The following is a 21145-nucleotide window of genomic DNA, read 5'->3' as shown; positions in this document are numbered from 1 at the left end:
CTGCAATTTTGCATTCATTGTCTTTAAAAGAGCACCCCATTATTCAGGCCCCACTAACTGGAATAGCTCCCATACGCAGGCTACAGTGAAGAGATGTAGGTGGCCAGCCTCCCTAGAACAGGGGCTGAGAGCCGAGGAATCATGGCAAGCAGGTAGAGAGGGAGACAGGTGGGGACACTGAGGATGGAGGATGTGAAAAGCTGAGTGTGGGAGGACAGGCTCGTTGAGGTTGATACTGCATGATGGGTTCCTGTCATGGAGAGTGACAGGAGAGAGGGGCTCCTTTTCTCTGGGAACAGATGTTTCCAGCTGCTTCAACCTTCTGCACCTGTAATGAGTGGAGAGATGATTAAAGACTAAAACAGGTGGTATGTTCCAGAATCCTGAAAAAGAGTCAAAAACATGTCACTCTCTGTAACTGAGATTTTTAAGAGCCAGCATCAAATGGATGAGGGTAATCACAGGTTGGGTGCCTCCCAGATCTCACAAGAGTCCTCAAGGAATAAGGTAGCCCCTCAATTCATCAAGAGTTGAGAGTGTATACTCAAACCCCATCCAGGAAGCACCAATTTAAATGTAACTAATAAAAAAATGCACTTTCCAATAATACAGCTAAAAGGATAATGACATATGATAAAGTATTTAAAAAGCAAATTTAAAAGTGGCAGTTCCACATGCATACATACATACACAGATGAATACATTAGACTAAAAAAACTATGAGGCAGAAAACATCTAATGATTTTTATGCAAGGACAAATGACACATAGGGAAAACATGTGTAACTCATAGCCAAAAAATAATTTTCCTAATGTATCAGCACTCCTATAAATTGATTTTTTAAACCCAAAATCTAATAGAAAATTAGGTAGTTCATAAGAAAGGAAATAGAAATGCCTCCTAGATATAGGTAAAAATATTAAATCTTTGAGTAAGAAAATGAAAAATAAAATTACTCTGCAATATCACTTTTTTTTTTTTTTTTTGAGACAAAGTCTTGCTGTGTCACCCAGGCTGGAGTACAGTGGCACAATCTCAGTTCACTACAACCTCTGCCTCCTGGGTTCAAGTAATTCTCCTGCCTCAGCCCCCTCAAGTACCTGGGATTACAGGTGCCTGTCACCACACCTGGCTCATTTTTTGTATTTTTAGTAGAGATGGAGTTTCACCATGTTGCCCAAGCTGGTCTCGAACTGCTGACCTCAGGTGATCCGCCCACCTCGGCCTCCCAAAGTGCTGGGATTACAGGCATGAGCCACCACGTCTGGCCGCAATATCACTTTTCAACTGGCAAAGATAAAAGAAAGTTTGATAAGGATGTATGGAAACAAAGTGTCTCATAAATTGTTGGTGGGGCTTGGCACGGTGGCTCAAGCCTGTAATCCAAAAGCTTTGAGAGGCTGAGGCAGGAGGATTGCCTGAGCCTAGGAGTTCAAGACCACCCTGGGCAACATAGTGAAACCCCCTCTCTACAAAAAATAAAAAATAAAAAAATAAAAATAATTAGCCAGGCATTGGGGTGCACAGCTGTAGTCCCAGCTACTCGGGAGGTTGAGGTAGGAGGATCCCTTGAGCCCAGGAGTTTGAGGCTGCAGTGAGCTATAATCACACTGCTGCACTCCAGCCTGGGTGACAGAGCGAGACCCTGCCTCAAAAATAAAAAATTTAAAAATCACTGGTAGTGGTAGAGATACAATTTCTGTGGAGAGCAATTTGTCAATTTCTATTCATATTATAAGTGCATATACCCTTTGATGCAGCAGTTTAACTTCTTAGAATGTATTTTATGGGTATGGTCACATATGAATGACATGACATGTATATACAAGATTGTTTCCAACACTCTGTAATAACAAAAGATGGGAGATAGCCTACATGTCCATCTAGAGTGGCCAAGTAAATAAATTACTAGATATCCATATATTGGAATATTACTCAGCCATAGAGAAGAATGGGGGAGCTTTGTTTAAATGGACATGAAATAATCTTCAAGATATACAAGTGAAAACAGCAATATATAGAAGATATATAAAGTACACTACGCTTTAAAAAGAACAGGTGGGGCTGGGCACGGTGGCTCATGCCTGTAATCCCAGCACTTTGGGAGGCCGAGGCAGGCAGATCACCTGAGGTCAGGAGTTCAAGACCAGCCTGGCCAACATGGCAAAATCCCCTGTGTACTAAAAATACAAAAATTAGCCAGGTGTGGTGGCGGGTGCCTATAATCCCAGCTGCTTGGGAGGCTGAGACAGGAGAATCACTTTAACCCAGGAGGCAGAGGCTGCAGTGAGCTGAGATTGTTGCACTGCCCTCCAGGCTGGGTGACAGAGCAAGACTCTGCCTCAAAAAAAAAAAAAAAAAAAAAAAAGATAGGAAGAATGTAGCTGTGTGTGTATCTTTCTGAATAAGCATGAAGTATCTGTAAGGATCTATCGGAAACTCATGACATCCACTGCCTCCAGAGAGAGGCTCTGGGTGTGAGGATGTAAGAAAGAGCCCAGTGTCTTCCTGGTACAGAGTGGATCACAGGAATCCTAATCAACTCAGCAAATGCTAGTTGAGGGCTGGCCTTGTGCCGAGCACAGTGGCAGGTGCCAGGGGTGCAGCAGTTAATAGAGCAGACAAGTGTCCTGCCCTCCTGGAACTTACACCCTAGAGAATGAAACAGGCAATAAACAAGTAAGATAGATGGACAAACAGTCCGCTACACAGAAAGAAAAAGAGGTGCAGTGCTTGAAGAAAGTTAAAAATGGCACATGGAAAGGGTAAATGGGGTTGGCGTATCTATTATTTACATGGGGTGGTGGCCAGGGAAAGTCTCGTGTCATCCAGATATCAGGGGTGCAAGTATCCAGGACACAGCAAGTGCAAAGAGCTGACATAGGTATGATTGAGGAAGAGTGAGGAAGCCAGTGCGGCTGAAGCAGGGAGAGGGAAAGGGACTGAGGCCGGCGCTGGAATGTGTCCCTGCATCAACTGTTCTCGGGCACAGTGCAGGCTGCCTGGGCCTGCTGGGGGTGGTGTGAACTGTAGAAGAGAAATGGGTTGGGACATCCAACATTCTCAGTGATGCCTGTCTCTTTTTAGCCAATGGGTGTAATGACTTCTCTCTGAAATAACTTTCTGGGACAAGGCAGCCCTTTGACAATTCTAGTACCACGTCCCAAACATAGCGCTTGTCCCCGTAGCACAAAAGCCATCCTCCTTTCTCTTAGAGAGCCTGTGTGTCTTGGAAGGAAACAGATGCAAACATCTCTTCTAATATTGGCTGTTCCTGAGCCTATATGTTCCAGAAGTGGTCACAGATCAAACAGCCTTCTGCCCTTCTGTTTGGAAAGACGGCTGGGCCCCCAGGGAACCCCGGCTTCCACCGGGGGTGCACTTTCTCTGTGTGACATGTGCTATGTCAACTTTCTAGTCACAGTGGGTCCTCGTTCTTTAAGACAACAAATCCCCAGGGGAAGCGGGTTGACTCCTGCATAATTGGACAGTTGGCTGTATCCAGAGAGGAGTGTTTACAGAGCACATCAAGAGCCAGCCTGGGGACCCACGTGTTTGCTCAGTATCCACACGGCAAACAGCAAGAGCCTCCCTTGAATGGAGGGGTCAGGAAGGGATTTTCCTCAAATCTAAGTAAGCCTCTGGGGTGACAGCTCATTCAAAAGGCCATGGTGTAGGAAAGAGTGTCCTGGAATATGGGTGCCAGACCTTTGTCGTCTGGAGTGGACACAAAGAGTCTTTGCTCTCCCAGTTTGCTTTCTAGCAACAGAATCGACCCGGGGATACTGAGGGGGACCTGGGCCTGTTTCAGGGTCTAAGTGTCTGGAACCAGAACCCAAGGCCAGCTGTCAAGCAGGGGGCGGAGAGAAGGAGGGTGGCCCACTAGCTGTGCTCATAACAGAGGCCCAAGGCTTTTACGCGCATGATTAGTGATGAGCCGGTTGCCTGGCAACCGCAGCCCCTTCCCCCTTCTATCCATACCCCTCAGGCGGCATGTAATGTCTGTGACATTTTTCTTTTCATAGCGGAGACAGGGAATCGCCCCCTTCATTAGCTGAAGATGGTGCCCACCCGCCCATCCCCCCTTAGTAGCTTATTGATCTGACTCCCGATTTGAAATCATCTCCTCAGAGCAGTTAATTATTCATCGCATAGAAGACTGATTGCTGTGCCAAGATGACCTCACAGACAGGAGTTCATGGAAGGGAAGGGTTTAGACCAAGACCTGGCACACAGGAAGAGAGGTATAAAAATGAGCTGTTAAAAGAATTACCAGTATCTCTTTCTTCTAGGAAATCCCAGTCCTAAGATCTACACTGGCCAGACTTCACTGTTTTCAAAGAGCTTCACTGTTTTCTCTCAGCTTCTCAGAATACTGCAGCCAGAGATCTCTTCCCCTCTGCCCCCTGTAGCCAACTGCCTCAGCTTACAGACAGTGAATCTGAGGCCCAGTGAATGAGGCAGTGACTTTGCCGAAGTCACATAGCTCATGACGCCAGGGCTAGAAATACAGACCTCCTGTTCCTCAGTCTCTTCCTACTACACCTCTAGCCCTCAAAATTTAGCATGCCTAACAATTCTACCAGGAGTCACTCAAAAATGCAGATCTAGGAGCCCCTCCATGGCGCCATATTGGCTTCCCAGAGCTGCTGAAACAAATAATTACAAACTTAGTGGCTTAAAACAACACGGATTAATCATCTACAGCTTTAGAGGTCAGAAGTCCTAAAGTGGGTCTTGCAGGGCTGGGAGTGAGGTGTTGGCAGCTCTGAGTTCCTCCTGGAGGCTCTGGGGGAGGATCTCTTCCTCGCCTTTTCCAGCGTTCAAGGCCACCTTCATCCTCAGTGCGTGGTGTTTCCCTCCAATCCCTTCTCCTCATCACATCTCCGCCTCTCCTGCCTCCCTCTTCCCTTTGTTAGGACCCCCATGATCCAGTGGGCCCACCGGGGTAATCGAGGATAATCCCCCCATCTTAAGATTCTTAATTTAGTCGCATCTGTTAGGCCCTTTTCCCATGCAAGGTCACATATTTGCAGGTTCTGGGAACCGGGACATGGACACCTTTGGGGGTTCATTATTTTGTTTCTCCTGCCACGCCTCTGAGGCAGGATTCTGACTCAACCTCCTGGGCTAAAACCTAGGAATATTCATCTGAAACAACTCTCCTTCCGATTGGGAGGCAGGGGCTCCTGGAGCCTGGAGGGAAAGGCTGCGCCACACCCGCTGCAGTTGGAGGTGTCTCTTCTCGAGAAAGTGACTAGCAGGGCAAGTCACTATCCCATTTTATAAGATAGGAAACTCAAGGGAATGGTGAATTTCTAGAGAACAGTGAGAACAGTGAATTTCTAGTCCAAGGTTCCACAGCTAGAGCTGAAATTAATTAATTAATTAATTTATTTATTGTACTTACTTATGTATTTATTTTGAGAGGGAGTCTGTCACCCAGGCTGGAGGGCAGTGGCACGATCATGGCTCACCACAACTTCTGCCTCCCAGGCTCAAGTGATCCTCCCACCTCAGCCTCCTGAGTCGCTGGGACTACAGGCAGGCACCACCACGCCCACCTAATTTTGTATTTTTTGTAGAGATGAGGTCTCACTGTGTTGTCCAGGCTGGTCTCAAACTCCTGGGCTCAAGCGATCCTCCTGCCTCAGCCTCCCAAAGTGCTGGGATTATAGTGTGAGCCACTGCATCTGGCCTGGAGCCAGAGTTTAGACCCAAATCCCCTATTTCCACACCCTCTGTTCTTTTTACTACAGCACAGTCACCACCTAAATTCTCCCTCTATTGTGTAAACACAGTATGGTGGGGACTGCCCCCCTCATCTCACAGACAAAGATACCGTGGCACAGAAGGGGTCCAGCCACCTGCCCAAGGCCTGCTGCCTGGCTTCTGGCCGAAGCGCCACTGACCCGGGAAGCCCTGGACAGATCAGGCATCTCCTTCACTTTCTCCCATGGAGATTTTATCCCTACTCATCTGCTGAGAAACACTTTTTAACACAGAATGAGATTGATGTGGTAGACTCATTTCAAATACACGGAGCAGAAACAAACTCGGAGCCTTTTGGTGGATTATCTGTGTGGAGCAGACTGATGGCAATTAGGGGTTTGGGGAGACGGCAGGTGGGGGTGACAGGCTCTTCTATCCCTGTCCCATGAGGAAACCTAACAAAGGAGACCCTCCTCGCCGGTGCGCAAGTGTGTGAGTCAGCGCCAGGGGGCAGAGTTTGTCCAGGAATGAGAATGCACACGCCACTGTGCTTTGGCTTAAGGGTGATGTTAAGAAGGACGAGATTCTGGTGTGCAGGGTCATTGCCTTTAGTACAACCTTAGCCAATAGGTTTCTAATTGGGCCATTTATCTGGAAATAAGTGTGACATAAGAGCCCTGGAGGGTGGGTTGAGAGCAGATGCAAAGTGACTAAAGAGCATGCCACGAATGCATTTTTATAGGGTCAATTGTCTCATAATCTTTGTGTTCTCTTTTGGTGTGAATTAAATTCTGACCACTACTTGGCAATTTGTCAGAAGGCAGTCAGCTTAAGTATTGAGAAACACTGAATAATATTTCAAGAGTTTTCTAGTACATGGCCTCTGCAGCTGGAAAACATTAAAAAAAAGTTCACTTGTTTTTTCTTTTTTTCTTTATTATTCTTATTTATTTATTTATTTATTTATTTATTTTTTTGAGGTGGAGTCTCGCTCTGTCGCCCAGGCTGGAGTGCAGTGGCACGATCTTGACTCACTGCAAGCTTCGCCTCCCGGGTTCACGCCATTCTCCTGCCTCAGCCTCCTGAGTAGCTGGGACTACAGGCGCCTGCCACCACGCCCAGCTAATTTTTTGTATTTTTAGTAGAACCGGGTTTCACCGTGTTAGCCAGGATGGTCTCGATCTCCTGACCTTGTGATCCACCTGCCTCGGCCTCCCAAAGTGCTGGGATTACAGGCGTGAGCCACTGCACCTGGCCTTATTTATTTATTTTTTTGAGAGGGAGTCTCACTCTGTTGCCCAGGCTGGGTGGAGTGCAGTGGCGCAAACTCGGCTCACTGCAACCTCTGCCTCCTGGGTTCAAACGATTCTCCTGCCTCAGCCTCCCCAGTAGCTGGGACTACAGGAGCACACCACCTCACCTTGCTCATTTTTGTATTTTTAGTAGAGACAGGGTTTTATCATGTTGGCCAGGCTTGTCTCCAACTCCTGACCTCAGGTGATCCACCCCCCTTGGCCTCCCAAAGTGCTGAGATTACAGGTGTGAGCCACTGTGCTCAGCCTTATTATTATTATTTTTGAGACAGGGTCTTGCTCTGTTGCCCAGGCAGGAGTGCAGTGGCACGATCATAACTCACTGCAGGCTCCCACCTCAGCCTCCCCAGTAACGAGGACTACAGGTGCACACCACCACACTTGGCTAATTTTTTTTCTTTTTTTTTTTTTTTTTGGTAGAGACAGGGTCTCACTATGTTTCCCAGGCTGGTCTTGAACTCCTTGGATCAAGCAACTTTCTGGCCCCAGCCTCCCAAGCATTGGGATTATAGGTGTGAGCCACTGCACCCAGCCAATTTATTTTCTATTTTATTTTTAATTTTTTGCAAATTAATGTGATTATGCACACACAGTAGCTGTAGAAGCTTCTCCTCACATCTGCCCCCATGCCGTCCCAGCCCCTGAGTGGGACAGTCCCCACAGAGGTGGAGGCAACAGAGCACACTGGGTACGTTGCTTGGGAATTAACCCCAACGACACACAATTCAACCATCTGCGAGGCAGCGACATTTGGACAGATTTGAATTATCAGTAGCCTGAGGATGCTCTCTTTTTTAGAACAATAACTACCATTCATGAGAACTCCTTAGGCACCAGACACTGGGGCTTCCCTTGTAGAATCTCATCTAGGCAATAAAACGATTCTGTAAAGTAGATGCTATTATTATTATCCATATTTTACAGTTGAGGAAACTGAAACTATGAGGGGCTAAGAAAGTTGTTCAAAATTACCCAGCTAGGTGAGCTGGGCATAGTGGCTCACACCTGTAATCCCAGCACTTTGAGAGGCTGAGGCAGGCAGATCACTTGAGGCCAGGAGTTCGAGATCAGCCTAGGCAACATGGTGAAACCCTGTCTCTACTAAAAATACAAAAATTAGCTGGGTATGGTGGTGCATACCTATAATCCCAGCTATTCGGGAGGCTGAGGCAGGAGAATCGCTTGAACCTGCGAGGCAGTGGTTGCAGTGAGCTGAGATCGAGCCACTACACTCCAGCCTGGGCAACAGAGTGAGACTCTCTCTCTCACACAACAACAACAGCAACAACAACATTTACCCAGCTAGGAAGTGGTTCAACCAGGCCTCAGACAGAGCCATCTGACCCCAAAGCCCAGGGACTTAGCTCCTGTTTTCCTAGAAGCCTAAGCAATCCTAGCCCAATGGAAAAAAACCTGCTCATAGATTCTGACACTTTACATTCTAATTTGAACATGGTGCTGATTTGGTGGGTGGCCTTAGAGAGGTGACTTCATATCTCGATTGAATCTTAAGATCTTAGGGTGAGACAAATGCTTCATAACTCAACTGGCCGGAGTACATATAATATGACTTCTATGTTGGGGACATTTGGATCATCAAGAGCCCACACTAGTATGTGGAGTCAGGGGCCATCGACAGCTCTGAGATCTATAGGAAGCTGGCACTGGGGTCAGAAGGAAGTTTCTATAAAATGGAAATGTAATGGGATGATGTGAGGTATGAGTAGAATTATTCTCTCAAGCTCCTGGTTGCTAAAAGGTACAAAGAATGTATCAGTCTGCCCACAGGCTCAGGTTTTGGAGCTGGGGACTTGGCAGAGGATGGTCACGTGTTGGGCAAAGAGAAGTAGGCATTGGAGAGATGTTGCACGAGGCCATCAGCTGGGGTCAGCTGGAAGAGGAAGGCCACATGTCCCAAGGGACCCCTGGGAGCTGCTTGGGCATTTAGTGCCAGGGCAAGTCTTGGGGACCACTTGCTAAGCCATGGAGACCAACAATTCTGCCATAGGCAATCACAAAAGAACATATTCAACTTTCTCTTTTCTTCCTTTTCCCCCAAAGCTACAGGGGAAAGCACAGGCAAGAATCGGGTGGGAGAGAAGTAGACCATGTCTCCACCCCGCCACTCCCAAATCTTTTAAAGCCATGAGTCTAGTCTGCACTAGAGGCGAGGAGGAAAGCTTTGAATCCAATATAAGAATGAAATTTTACATTGAACAGAGTTGAATCTTAATAACTGGAGAGAAACTGTTGTGATAACTAAAATGAAAAGTTGTAGAATCAGACTGGGATATATGTAGCTAATGGAGCCTGCTACCCAGTGGGAAAGAGAGGTTCCACAGAGCATAATTGATTGATTTTATTGGGGTAAAAAAATTACTTCATGTTTATCTTCCCAGAGAATTGACAATCTTTACTAAACCTGTTACTCAAAGGTGAATCAATAAATATATGTTCTGCCACGGGTGAAAGACTACAAGCCTGCCTTTTTACACTGCACAGTTAGTTCCTATGTGTGTGGGATGATCACATGGTTCTTTGGGACTTCAGTCTTGCAGAAGTGTCTTGGGTACCTCAGATAATGGTGGGGAAAGCCAAGAGTTTCTCTTTTCATCAAATTTGTAATTGTAGTTCGTTCTTCTGCTCCCACACAAGTATTGGGTTAGAATATTCATCTTAAGTGCCCTTCCTCTGCTCAGAGACTTCTGCCCCCTGAGACGTCTGGATCAATACCGACTCCCAACCTCTGACACCTCTCCTCACCCCCACTCTCCACCTCTACCTCGACCATGTCTGCCTGCCTGCCTGCCTGCCTTCCTTCCTTCCTTCCTTCCTTCCTTCCTTTTTTTTGAGATGAGGTCTCACTCTGTCACCCAGGCAGGAGTGCAGTGGTGTGATCTCAGCTCACTGCAACCTCTGCCTCCCAGGCTCAAGTGATCCTCCCACCTCAGCCTCCTGAGTAGCTGGGACCACAGGTGCATGCCACCACGCCCAGCCATGTTTTTGTATTTTTGGTGGAGATGGGGTTTCGTAGTGTTGCCCAGGCTAGTCTGGGACTCTTAGCTCAGGTGATCTGCCCGCCTCGGCCTCCCAAACTTCTGGGATTATAGGCGTGAGCCACCTCGCCTGGCCTCCCTCCTGAACTTTCAGCACTCAGCTTGAGCTCTGGGCTTCAGAAGGGCTATACAAACGAACTTAAATTGTAGTCATAATGGTGATAATCTCACCTCAACCCTGAGTTCCTGCCACTCCTTGACTATAGATTTAGGCAGTACAAGAACCCATAGATAGACACATCCATGGGACAAAGGCAGGAGTCCAGAACAGACCCAAGGATGAATCATAATTCACTCTGTGATGAAGATGATATCTCGAATTCATGAGAAAAGGCAAAGTATTCCATAAACAGTGCTTGAATAATTGGTTAACTACATGTGGAAAAACAGCCATTTAAATTCCCGTTTCTGATGAGGCTCAAAACACAATACCCCAAAATATGACACCTTGGCATACTGAGTATTTTTTAAGCTGAAGGAAATTGAAAAAAATCACAGTAGCAAGGTCTCTCTGACCTTCCCCCGCCCCCTCTCTCCTGAAGCAAGGCCACAGAAACTAGAACTCCCCTCAACCCTTTTTCCGTGAAGCAGGCCATAAAACCGAGAAAAGTCACTCTTTGACTTTCTCCCTCCCTTCTCCCCGAAGACCTTCATGTGGCAGGTGTCTTGCCCTATACCCAGAGGGAAGAAATGTCACAGTGGGGTGCCAAGAAGAATCTGAACAAATGGATCATGCTAAATTCTCCCCAGTTTTTTTGTGGGGAGCGGGGGAGCGGGTTATTTTGGATGGAGTTTCTCCTTGTTGCCCAGGCTGGAATGCAATGGCGCGATCTCGGCTCACTGCAACTGGGTGAACTCCGCCTCCTGGGTTCAAGCAATTCTCCTTCCTCAACCTCCCAAGTAGCTGGGATTACAGGCATGCACCACTATGCCTGGCTAATTTTTGTATTATTAGTAGAGACGGGGTTTCACCATGTTGACCAGGCTGGTCTTGAACACCTGACCTCAGGTAATCCACCCGCCTCGGCCTCCCAGAGTGCTGGGATTACAGGTGTGAGCCACTGTGCCTGGCCCTCCCCAGTTTTTTACCATTAGATTGTCCTCCAATCATACTTCTGCACGACTGTCCATACAAATACACAAATATTCCTAATTCTTCAGGTTTTTATTTCTGAAGGCTCCTGTGTTACATAACATTTATATTAAATAAATATGTTCTGCTGGCTGTGTATAGTGGCTCATGCCTGTAATCCCATCACTTTGGGAGGCTGAGATGGGAGGATCGCTTGAGCCCAGGAGTTCAAGACCATCCTGGATAAAATGGCAAAACTCTGTCTCTATAAAAAAAAAAAAAAATACAAAAATTTGGCCAAGCGTGGTGGCTCACGTGCTGTAATCCCAGCACTTTGAGAGGCCAAGGTGGGTGGATCACTTGAGGTCAGGAGTTTGAGACCAGCTTGGCCGGCATGTTGAAACTCTGTCTCTACTAAAAATACAAAAAAGGTAGCTGGGCGTGGTGGCTTGTGCCTATAATCCCAGCTACTTGGGAGGCTGAAGCAGGAAAATCACTTGAACCCAGGAGGTGGAGGTTGCAGTGAGCCAAGATTATACCACTGCACTTCAGCCTGGGCAACAGAGCAACACCTTGTCTCAAAAACAGAAACAAAAATTTGCTGGATGCGGTGGCACATACCTGTAGTCCCAGCTACTTGGGAGGCTGAGGTGGGAAGATTGCTTGAGCCCAGTAGGTGGAGGCTTCAGTGAGCCATGATCTCGTCACTGCACTTAAGCCTGGGTGACAGAGTGAGACCCTATCTCAAAAAAAAAAAAAAAAAAAAAAATTATGCTTCTCTCTTGTTAATGCATCTTTTGTTATGAGAGTGTCAGCCATGAACCTAGCAATGGGTGAGGAAAAGATACCACTTTTTCTCTCTTATGCTTCACATCCCTCAATTTCTGATGGATAAAAGAGAGGTATAAGAGATAAAAGAATGAAATATAAAAGAATGAAATCGTAAAAGAAAACTTAAGTACATATTTATCAGACCTTGGGGACTGGGAAAGAATTTTACAAATATAAAAACGATAAAGAAATCACATAGGAAAAAATGACAAATTTGAATATATCAAAATTTTAAATGTATACCAAAAACAACACAAATTCAATCAAAAGGTATGGTAGTAACAGGGTCCACTAATCCCCATTGCACCAGTGGACAGCAAGCCAACAGCCAGCGTGTGAGTGAGACCATCTTAGACCAACCTTTCCCCAGCCATGGCACTAGCTGACCCACGCACGTGAATGAGCCCAGCTGAGATCAGCCAAGCCTGATCCAAGTTATCAGATATGGCCTGCTGCTCCATTGACTTGTAAGCAATAGTAACTTTTTTGTTGTTGTTTAGAACACTAAGTTTTAAGGGGATTTGTTATGCAGAATTAGAAAAATGATACAAAAGAGAAATGACAAATTGGAGTAAATATGTGTAAGAAATAGGAACAATAAAGATGAAAATCTTTAATATGAAATGAAGTCTTGTAAATTAAAAGGAAAAACACCAACTGCCACAATGAAATGAATAAAAGACATAAGCAGTCAAGTCATTAAGGAAGAAAGACAAATAACTAATAAGTGAATGTAAAAGTATTAAAGCTCACACAAAAAAAAAGAGGTGCAATTTAAACATTAAATGACACTAAGATATTTTTTACTTATTAAATTAACAGTTTAAATTAGCAATTAAAAAATGTTCAGTAATGAAGGGCACTCTCTTATGTATGGGTGGAAGTCTAATTAACAAACCATTTCTGGAAAATAATTTAGCAAGACTTAGAAAATGGCTTTGGGGCAGATGCAGTTGGTTGGTGTGGAGTACTGAATCATTATTCTCAATTCCTTGTTGCTGCCTATATCCGTGCTGTTTTCATGATTTTGTAGTTCCTCCCACTAGAAGAAGAGTCTATTTTCTTGCATATTGATGTGGTGGTTGGCCTTGTGGCTGTTTTTGGCCAGTGGAAAGTTAACAAATGTGTGCTGCACACAGAGGTTTAAACATCCTCTGGTGTCAAGTTTGTTCTGTTGCATTTCTCCCTTTACCACAAAAAGAGCTTCCCCTATGTAGTCCTGCCCCTTCAACATGGGCTCTAGAGTGAAAACGTGGGTTTGGGAAGTTGGAATGGTGGTGGCAGAATTGCTCTTGAAACTTTCCTAATTCTCACATAAAAATAGCCGGAACAAGCTCATAGCAAAACCAAAAATCTGCAGACATTTCCAACCAAACCAAATGAGAAGGTATCCCTTTGAACCCTGAAAATAGAAGCAGGCAAGAATAAATAATTGATAGTCACAAGACCTGCATGGCATCCTCATCTGGGCAGGAGAAAGCAGAGGAGAGTAATGAGGCATTTAACAAACCTGAGAACAGGAAACCCCTAAAATATACTACAGGTATTCACTGGAAGGCTCAGCAGGCCAATTTTGGAAGAGTAGCTGAAACGGTTTTGCCTATTCCAATTTGCTGGTGAGAGCAGTGGGGAGCCCTTCAGTGAGGTCTGAAAGGTATGGAGAAGTCCGGCCCCTGTGAACTCTCAAAACCCACCAGGTAGGAATCTCTTTTAGGACAGGTTTGTTCCCTAAAGATACTACTGGGACTAGAATTAAAATTGAACAGAATAGGCATTACAGAGATGAAGGAAAGAAGGTAGACAAAAGTGATGAGAATCTCCAGGAAACCTTATAAAGCAAGCTGCTTTTTTTTTTTTTTTTGCACTACATGAAACACAGCAGAATAGGTAATTTTGTAAAGTTGTAACAGTTATTCTGAACAAAGCCTCAATCTAAAAGCTCAAGAAACCTAAATCCATATAAAAATAAGCAACAATAAAGTATTGCGGTCAAACCTCATGCAAAGTTATTGTAAGGAAAATGAGAATAGAGCAAAATAATATCCCTACAGGTAATGAAAGCAGATCAGAAAGATTTGCTTTAAAAAGAAAAATGCAACTATAATGCTCTATTTCAAAATAAGCTGGAAGACATTAAGAAAATGATACAAAACATGAAAGAACAACATAATCAGAATTAGGAAAACTCAGAAGTGAAGTGACAGAACTCAAGAAAAATATAAAAATAAAATAAATGAAGACTCAACTATAAGGGACCCAGTAAATAAACATAGGAGACAATGCCTTAAGAGAAACAGAAGGTAAAAGTAAGGAAAATATTTAAAAAATCAAAAAGAACCTAAGAGAGAGAGAAAGATTGAGGAACAATACAGCTATTGAATGAATATAGGCAAAGAACCAACATGTGGATAACAAAAGTGTCTGAATAAGAAAACCAAAGCAAGAAAATCAAATATTAAGTGTTATAATTCAAGAAAGAAATTTTAAATAAAATAGATTTGAAGGTACGTATTAAAAGAGACTATGGGCTGGGCGCGGTGGCTCACGCCTGGAATCCTAGCACTTTGGGAGGCCAAGGCAGGTGAATCTTCTGAGGTCAAGAGTTTGAGCCCACCTGGCCAACATGGTGAAACCCCATCTCTCCTAAAGATATGAAAATTAGCTGAGTGTGGTGGTGCATGCCTGTAATCTCAGCTACTTGGGAGGCTGAGGCAGGAGAATTGCTTGAACCTGGGAGGCAGAGGTTGCAGTGAGCCAAGATCATGCCACTGCACTCCAGCCTGGGCAACAGAGTGAGATTTTATCAAGAAAGAAAGAGAAAGAGAGAGAGAGAGAGAGAGAGAGAGAGAGAGGAAGGAAAGGAAGGAAGGAAGGAAGGAAGGAAAGAAGGAAAGAAAGAAAGAAGAAGGGAGGATGGAAGGGGACTTCCATATGAGAATAGTGAACCTGAATGACCAATACTAAGACATATTCTAGTAAAATTTCTGGATTTTAAAGAAAAAGGAAAAAAAATCTTTAAGTATCTAGGCAAAAACAACATGAGGTTATAAGGGAAGGAAGATTTTTATTAGACTTTTTGATTATTATTAGACTTTTGGTGTCAGAAGAAAATGGAATAGCACACTTAGGACTCTCAAGGAAAGACATATAACTCTTTAAGTATAAAGGGCACAGAGAAGCTGTTATGAACATGCAAAAACTCAGGGAATATTGTTCCTATGCGTACTTCCTGAGGAACCTGTTACAGAATAAGCTTTAGACAACCAAAGTGACTAGACAGTCTCTGGTATAAGGACTGATGGTAAGTATTAAATATATAGGTACTTGTAGATGAAGACTAAATGAGAGTAAAAAGGGAAAGAATAATATGTGATGATTATGTGCCTTGACAATGTAGATCGAGTATAACTTTAAAAAATGAGGCAAGAGTGGGAATAAGGTATGAAAAAGTTTAAAAAAATGTCAGTAGTCATAATTTGTAATGGTTATTGTAAGTATTGTTATTTTGAAACTCTTCTGTATATAATGTAGGATAAAGTAAATGAGCAGTTATGGAATATTCCATCACTTCTCCTGTTCTAAGAACCAGAACCAGGATTCTTGGTGTGGAAGAAGGAGTTGCAGAGACAATATAAAAGAAGTTAAGGGCCCAGGCATGGTGGCTCATGCCTGTAATTCTACCACTTTGGGAGGCTGAGGCGAGAGGATTATTTGAGCTCAGGAGTTCAAGACCAGCCAGGGCAACATAGCGAGACACTCTCTCTATAAGAAACACAAACAAAAAAAATGTTAAGGCATAGCACTGTAGACTTGAGTGTGAATTAGAAATATCGCTGTCAAGTCATGAAATGTTTTTTACCTTCAAAATATATTCTCTAGTTCTGTTTACTAAAATAGCCCCCATATATTGACAAGTCTACCAAGTAACATAGGGCATCCCTGGAGCCCAGCTTGTGATAAAGAAATTACACTTTTCACTAAAAGAAAACCAGAGCTTCTTGGATAAATGACTGATTCCAAACCTGTGGCAAAAAAAAGTACAAACTAGGCTGGGCATGGTGGCTCACGCTTGTAATCCCAGCACTTTGGGAGGCCAAGGCGGGAGGATCACTTAAGTCAGGAGTTCGAGACCCACCTTGCCAACATGGTGAAACCCTGTCTCTACTAAAAATATGAAAATTAGCTGGGCGTAGTGGTGCGCACCTGTAGTCCCAGCTACCCAGGAGGTTGAGGCAGGAGAATCGCTTGAACCCAGGAGGCAGAGGCTGCAGCGAGCTGAGATCATGCCATTACACTCCAGCTTGGGTGACAGAGTGAGACTCTGTCTCAAAAAAAAAAAAAAAAAGAAAAACCCAAAAAAACAAAAAACAAACCAAAAAAAGTACAAACTTAACCTAGAACATTTTGTAATACCAGATAGCAAGGACTCTATCAACTACTAGGGTCATTTCAAAATGACTCAGGCGTCAACTTGAAGAGATTCCTAGTGGCCACAAATCAGACAATTTTAGCTTCAATAAGGACAAGAATTGGAATGAACTGAAATACATCGAATATATTTACATTTCTGAATTCATAGTAATAAAAAATTGGTCTCCTTTGAAGGATAACAATTAATTCATTATTTCAAAAAATGGATAAATAAAGGAAAGGAATTGGGCGTTATCCTGACTTTCCTATATAAACTATACTACTGGGTAACCACTAGCAGATGACGGAGGCCAGGTGTGGTGGCTCACACCTGTAATCTTAATTATTTGGAAGGCTGAGGTGGGAGGATTGTTTGAGCTCAGAGTTCGAGACCAGCCTGAGCAGCATAGGGAGACCCCATCCCTATAAAAAAATAAAAATAACTGGATATAGTGGTGTGCACCTGTAGTCCCACCTACTTGGGAGGCCAAGAGGAGAGGATCACATGAGCCTATGAGTTTGAGGTTATAGTGAGCTATGATTGTGTTCCTGCACTCCAGCCTGGGCAACAGAGGGAGACACTGTCTCTCTCTCTCTCTTTTTTTTTTTTCTTTTTTCTTCTCTTTCTTTTTCTTTTTGAGACAGAGTCTTGTTCTGTCACCCAGGCTGGAGTGCAGTGTTGCTATCTGAGCTCACTGCAACCTCCACCTCTGGGGTTCAAGCGATTCTCCTGCCTCAGCCTCCCAAGTAGCTAGGATTACAGGTGTGAGCCACCATACCCAGCTGTTTTCTTTATTTATATTTTGTTTTAAAATAAAAAGTAAAAACAAAACCAATAATGCTTTCCTGTCCCGGCCTGTGCGGCGTGGGCTCGTGGGTCTCTGAGACCCAAAAATGGAGAGCGTTTTCGCACCCCAGGGACTGCTCCTGGCAGCTCTGTGGCTGTCACCATGCCACAGAACGAATATATTGAATTACACTGTAAACACTATGGATACCATTTGGATTACCATGAGAAAAAGGGAAAGAAGGAAAGTCGAGAGGCTCATGAATGTTCAAAGAAGGGAAAGAAAATGATTGGTCTGAAGGCTAAGCTTTACCATAAACAGCGCCATGCTGAGAAAATACAAATGAAAAGACTATCAAGATGCATGAAAAGAGAAACATCAAACAAAAGAATGATGAAAAGACTCCACAGGGAGCAGTACCTGCCTATCTGCTGGACAGAGAGGAACAATCTCGAGCTAAAGTACTTTCCAATAGGATTAAACAGAAACGAAAAGAGAAAGTGGGAAAATGGGAAGTCCCTCTGCCTAAAGTACGTGCCCAGGGAGAAACAGAAGTATTAAAAGTTATTCGAACAGGAAAGAGAAAGAAGAAGGCATGGAAGAGGATGGTTACTAAAGTCTGCTTTGTTGGAGATGGGTTTACAAGAAAACCACCTAAATATGAAAGATTCATCAGGCCAATGGGCTTGCATTTCAAGAAAGCCCATGTAACACATCCTGAAATGAAAGCCACCTTTTGCCTACGAATACTTGGTGTAAAGAAGAGCCCCTTGTCCCCACTGTATACAACTTTCGATGTTATTACCAAAGGTACTGTCATTGAAGTAAATATGAGCGAATTGGGCCTTGTGATGCAAGGAGGCAAAGTTATTTGGGGAAATTATGCCCAGGTTACTAACAATCCTGAAAATGATGCATGCATAAATGCAGTCTTACTGATTTGACAGCAATTTTATATATAATTATTGAGGACTACACACCAATTGGAAAAACTGCCATTGCTGTGATGTTTCTGAATACTACCAAACAGCCATACATGTCTGCAATGAAGAGATTTATTAAATTGTAAACATTTAAAAAGTAAATTAAAAAAAAAACCCAATAATGATCACACATAGAACAGACCTGAGCCCTCCCACAGACAAGGCTAGCCAAACCCAACATAGATCAGACAGGCTTCAATTAATCCAAACTGTGAACATGAAATAAATGCTTACTGTTTTTTACACCTAAGTTCTGGGATGGTTTGTTACACAGCACTGTTGTGGCTTTTGCTATCTAATACAGTTCCAATTCAACACCTATATCAAATCTTGTCTAATTTCACTATTGAATGTGGAAAAGACCAGATACTTGTTTACCTAGCCTACCCAACAGTTAATGATGACCACAAGACTCAGTACTTGGAAATAAGCCCTGAGGAGAATTCTCCTGTGGGGGGTTTCTGGTAAACATTTTCCTTCCTAAAGAGTGGTATGTAAAGAGCCTCTCTCACTGTCCTGGCTTCATATACCCCTGTCTTCCTGAATTTTGTGTGACAGTGTGATGCTGGGAGACATTTGCTGCCAAGAGGCAAATAAGTACCTGGATGAAAAGTCAACATTCTGAAGAAGTTGGAGCAAAAAAATAAAAAGTCTAATTTCTTGATTATATCTCCCTATCTTCCTTCATATTTCTTGGTTATGTAAGTAATAAATCCTAGTTGTTAGTTTTTCTATTACTTGCAGTTTACTTTTTTGTTGTTTTTTTGGTAGATCTCCTCTGTAATCAACCTAACTTTCTATTACTACCTAACTCAGACAGCTTAAAAATGTTCATAGTCTTTAATTCAGTAAGTAGTTCCATTGCTATCAATTTAGCACAAGAAAGTAATCCAAGATATGGTCAAAGAATATGTATCAAGGTATTATCTATAAGGAGAAAACTAGAAGATAATGTAAAAGTTCAATATAGAAGAATGATTAAATAAATATCGATAATATACATCCATTAACCTCTATCTTTTTGGAGAATACTTAAGGATATGGAAAATGCTCATGTGTAATAAAAAAATGCATAAAACTGTGTGAGTTATGTCAGAGAAAAATGGAAGAGTAAGGATCTCCAAAAATTCTCTCCACCATGAAAGCAACAAGAAGAAAGCTAGCACAATTGTCAGCATTGACCAGAGAATGTTGATTCAAGAAAAATAGCTGAATTTCAATAAAAGCAGTGAGTTTTGTGGCATTTTGATTTCCCTTATTCCCATCCTTTTCTTCCCAGTTCTGAAGTAGGGTTGAAAATCAACATCCCACAATCATGTTTGCATCTTTCCTTGTCTCGCCTGGCCTTTTCTCTTCTCCTTTCAACCCTGTGCTTGCACTTCCCAATTAAAGTATCAGTGCTGTAATCCTTGCCTCAGGCTCTGCTTTTATGAGCCCTCAGGCTAAGAAGAATGAATATACATTAAAAAACTTGAATAAAACCTTCTGATATCTACAGTAGTAATTGTGGAATTGAGTGTCCTTTATTTTTTTCTTTACTTTTTGGTATTAGCTGTGTTTTTGTCATGAACATGTTTTTCAGAATTAGTAAAAGAAACAAAACCCCAAAACAAAATACAAAAGCAACTGGGTTCAGCATGCCTCTTCCAAGAGAATTATTTTTACTTATCCAGAAATTAGGCAGTTACCTAAACAGTCTTTTGGGTTACTGATATGGCTTGGATGCTTGTCCCTTCCAGATCTTATGTTGAAATGTAATCCCCAGTGTTGAAAGTGGGGTCTGGTAGGAGGTATTGGATCATGGGGGCTGATCCCTCATGGATGGTTTGGTGCCATCCCCATGATAATGAGTGAGTTCTCTCTCTGGTAGTTGACATGAGAACTGATTGTTTAAAGAGCTTGGCATCTCCTATACCCCGCCACCGCTCTTGCTCCCTCTCTCACTATGTGATGTGCCTGCTCCTTCTTTGCCTTCTGCCATGAGTAAAAGCTCTTTGAGGCCTCACTGGAAGCTGAGCAGATGCTGGCACCATACTTCCTGTACATCCTGCAGAACTAAACCTCTTTTCTTCATAAATTGCCCAGCCTCAGGTATTTATAGTAACACAAGAACAGACTAATACAGATACTATCTTTTGGCACTTGCTAAGAATGTCATTCATTCATTTATTCATTCAAGAAAAATACTTATTGAGTGCCTACTGTATGCTAGGTATGGTTCTAGGAAACTAGGATCTATCAGTGGAACAAACAACATCCTTGTTCTCAGAGAGCTTACATTCTAATGGGGAGAATGTGACAATAACTGAGTGAATGGAAAAAAGAGTCAGTCTGTGATAAGTGCTTTAAAGCATAAATCTGGGTAAGGGATTGTGAACAATGGAGGGGTTATGAGGTGCTATGTTAGCTATGGAATGACTGCTCTAACAGTGACTTTTGAGTAGAGAACTAAATAAAGTAAAAGAGATAAGCATGCAAACTTCTAGGGGGAAAAATACTTCAGGCAGAAAGAACAGCCAATGAAAAGGCCTAAGGCAGGACAGTGCTAGGCATGTTTGAGCGGGAGTGTCCTTGACTTGTCTGGGGAATCGCAAGGTCAGTGTGGCTGCAGCAGAGTGGTATGGTAGGGGCAAAGAGTGGTGGAAGAGGAGGTTGAGGGGTGGCAGAGGTCCAAGGATGCAGGGCCTAAAAGGCCTTTGTGAGGACTTTGGATTTGACCCTGAGTGAGATGGAAAGCCATTACAGAATTTTTTGTTTTTAAATTTTGATAATATATATATAACTTTAAATTTACCTTTTTTTAAATTTTTTTTTTTGACAGAGTCTCACTCTGTCACCAGGCTGGAGTGCAGTGGCGCGATCTCGGCGGCTCACTGCAACCTCCGCCTCCCGGGTTCAAGCCATTCTCCTACCTCAACCTCTTGAGTAGCTGGGACTATAGGCATGTGCCACCACATCCAGCTAATTTTTGTATTTTTGG

General features: G+C 43.4%; 1 long non-coding RNA gene and 1 pseudogene across 1 annotated transcript in view, besides 1 other annotated feature; one reads left to right on the top strand and one right to left on the bottom strand.

Annotated features, from left to right (window-relative positions):
* Positions 1-250: 250 nt before the first annotated feature.
* The window catches only part of LOC102724960 (uncharacterized), a 66649-nt gene continuing 45754 nt past the window's right edge, over positions 251-21145 (bottom strand). The window contains exon 3 of the long non-coding RNA XR_945224.3: positions 251-328. This is a non-coding gene — a long non-coding RNA (uncharacterized LOC102724960). The remainder of the gene's footprint in view (positions 329-21145) is intronic.
* On the top strand, positions 17236-17878 carry NSA2P2 (NSA2 pseudogene 2; annotated as a pseudogene).
* Positions 17265-17848: an enhancer, noted in NCBI's record as "NANOG hESC enhancer chr12:94915144-94915727 (GRCh37/hg19 assembly coordinates)". NCBI's record gives its function as "activates a minimal SCP1, AML or CMV promoter by ChIP-STARR-seq in naive H9 embryonic stem cells {active_cell/tissue: H9 hESC(naive)}" and the evidence as "EXISTENCE:reporter gene assay evidence [ECO:0000049][PMID:30033119]".

The sequence above is a fragment of the Homo sapiens genome, chromosome 12 (genome assembly GCF_000001405.40).
Source record: "Homo sapiens chromosome 12, GRCh38.p14 Primary Assembly".
In the NCBI taxonomy this organism is placed as follows: domain Eukaryota; kingdom Metazoa; phylum Chordata; class Mammalia; order Primates; family Hominidae; genus Homo; species Homo sapiens.
The sequence above is the reverse complement of the archived record's forward strand: the minus strand, read 5'-3'. Positions and strand labels throughout refer to the sequence as shown.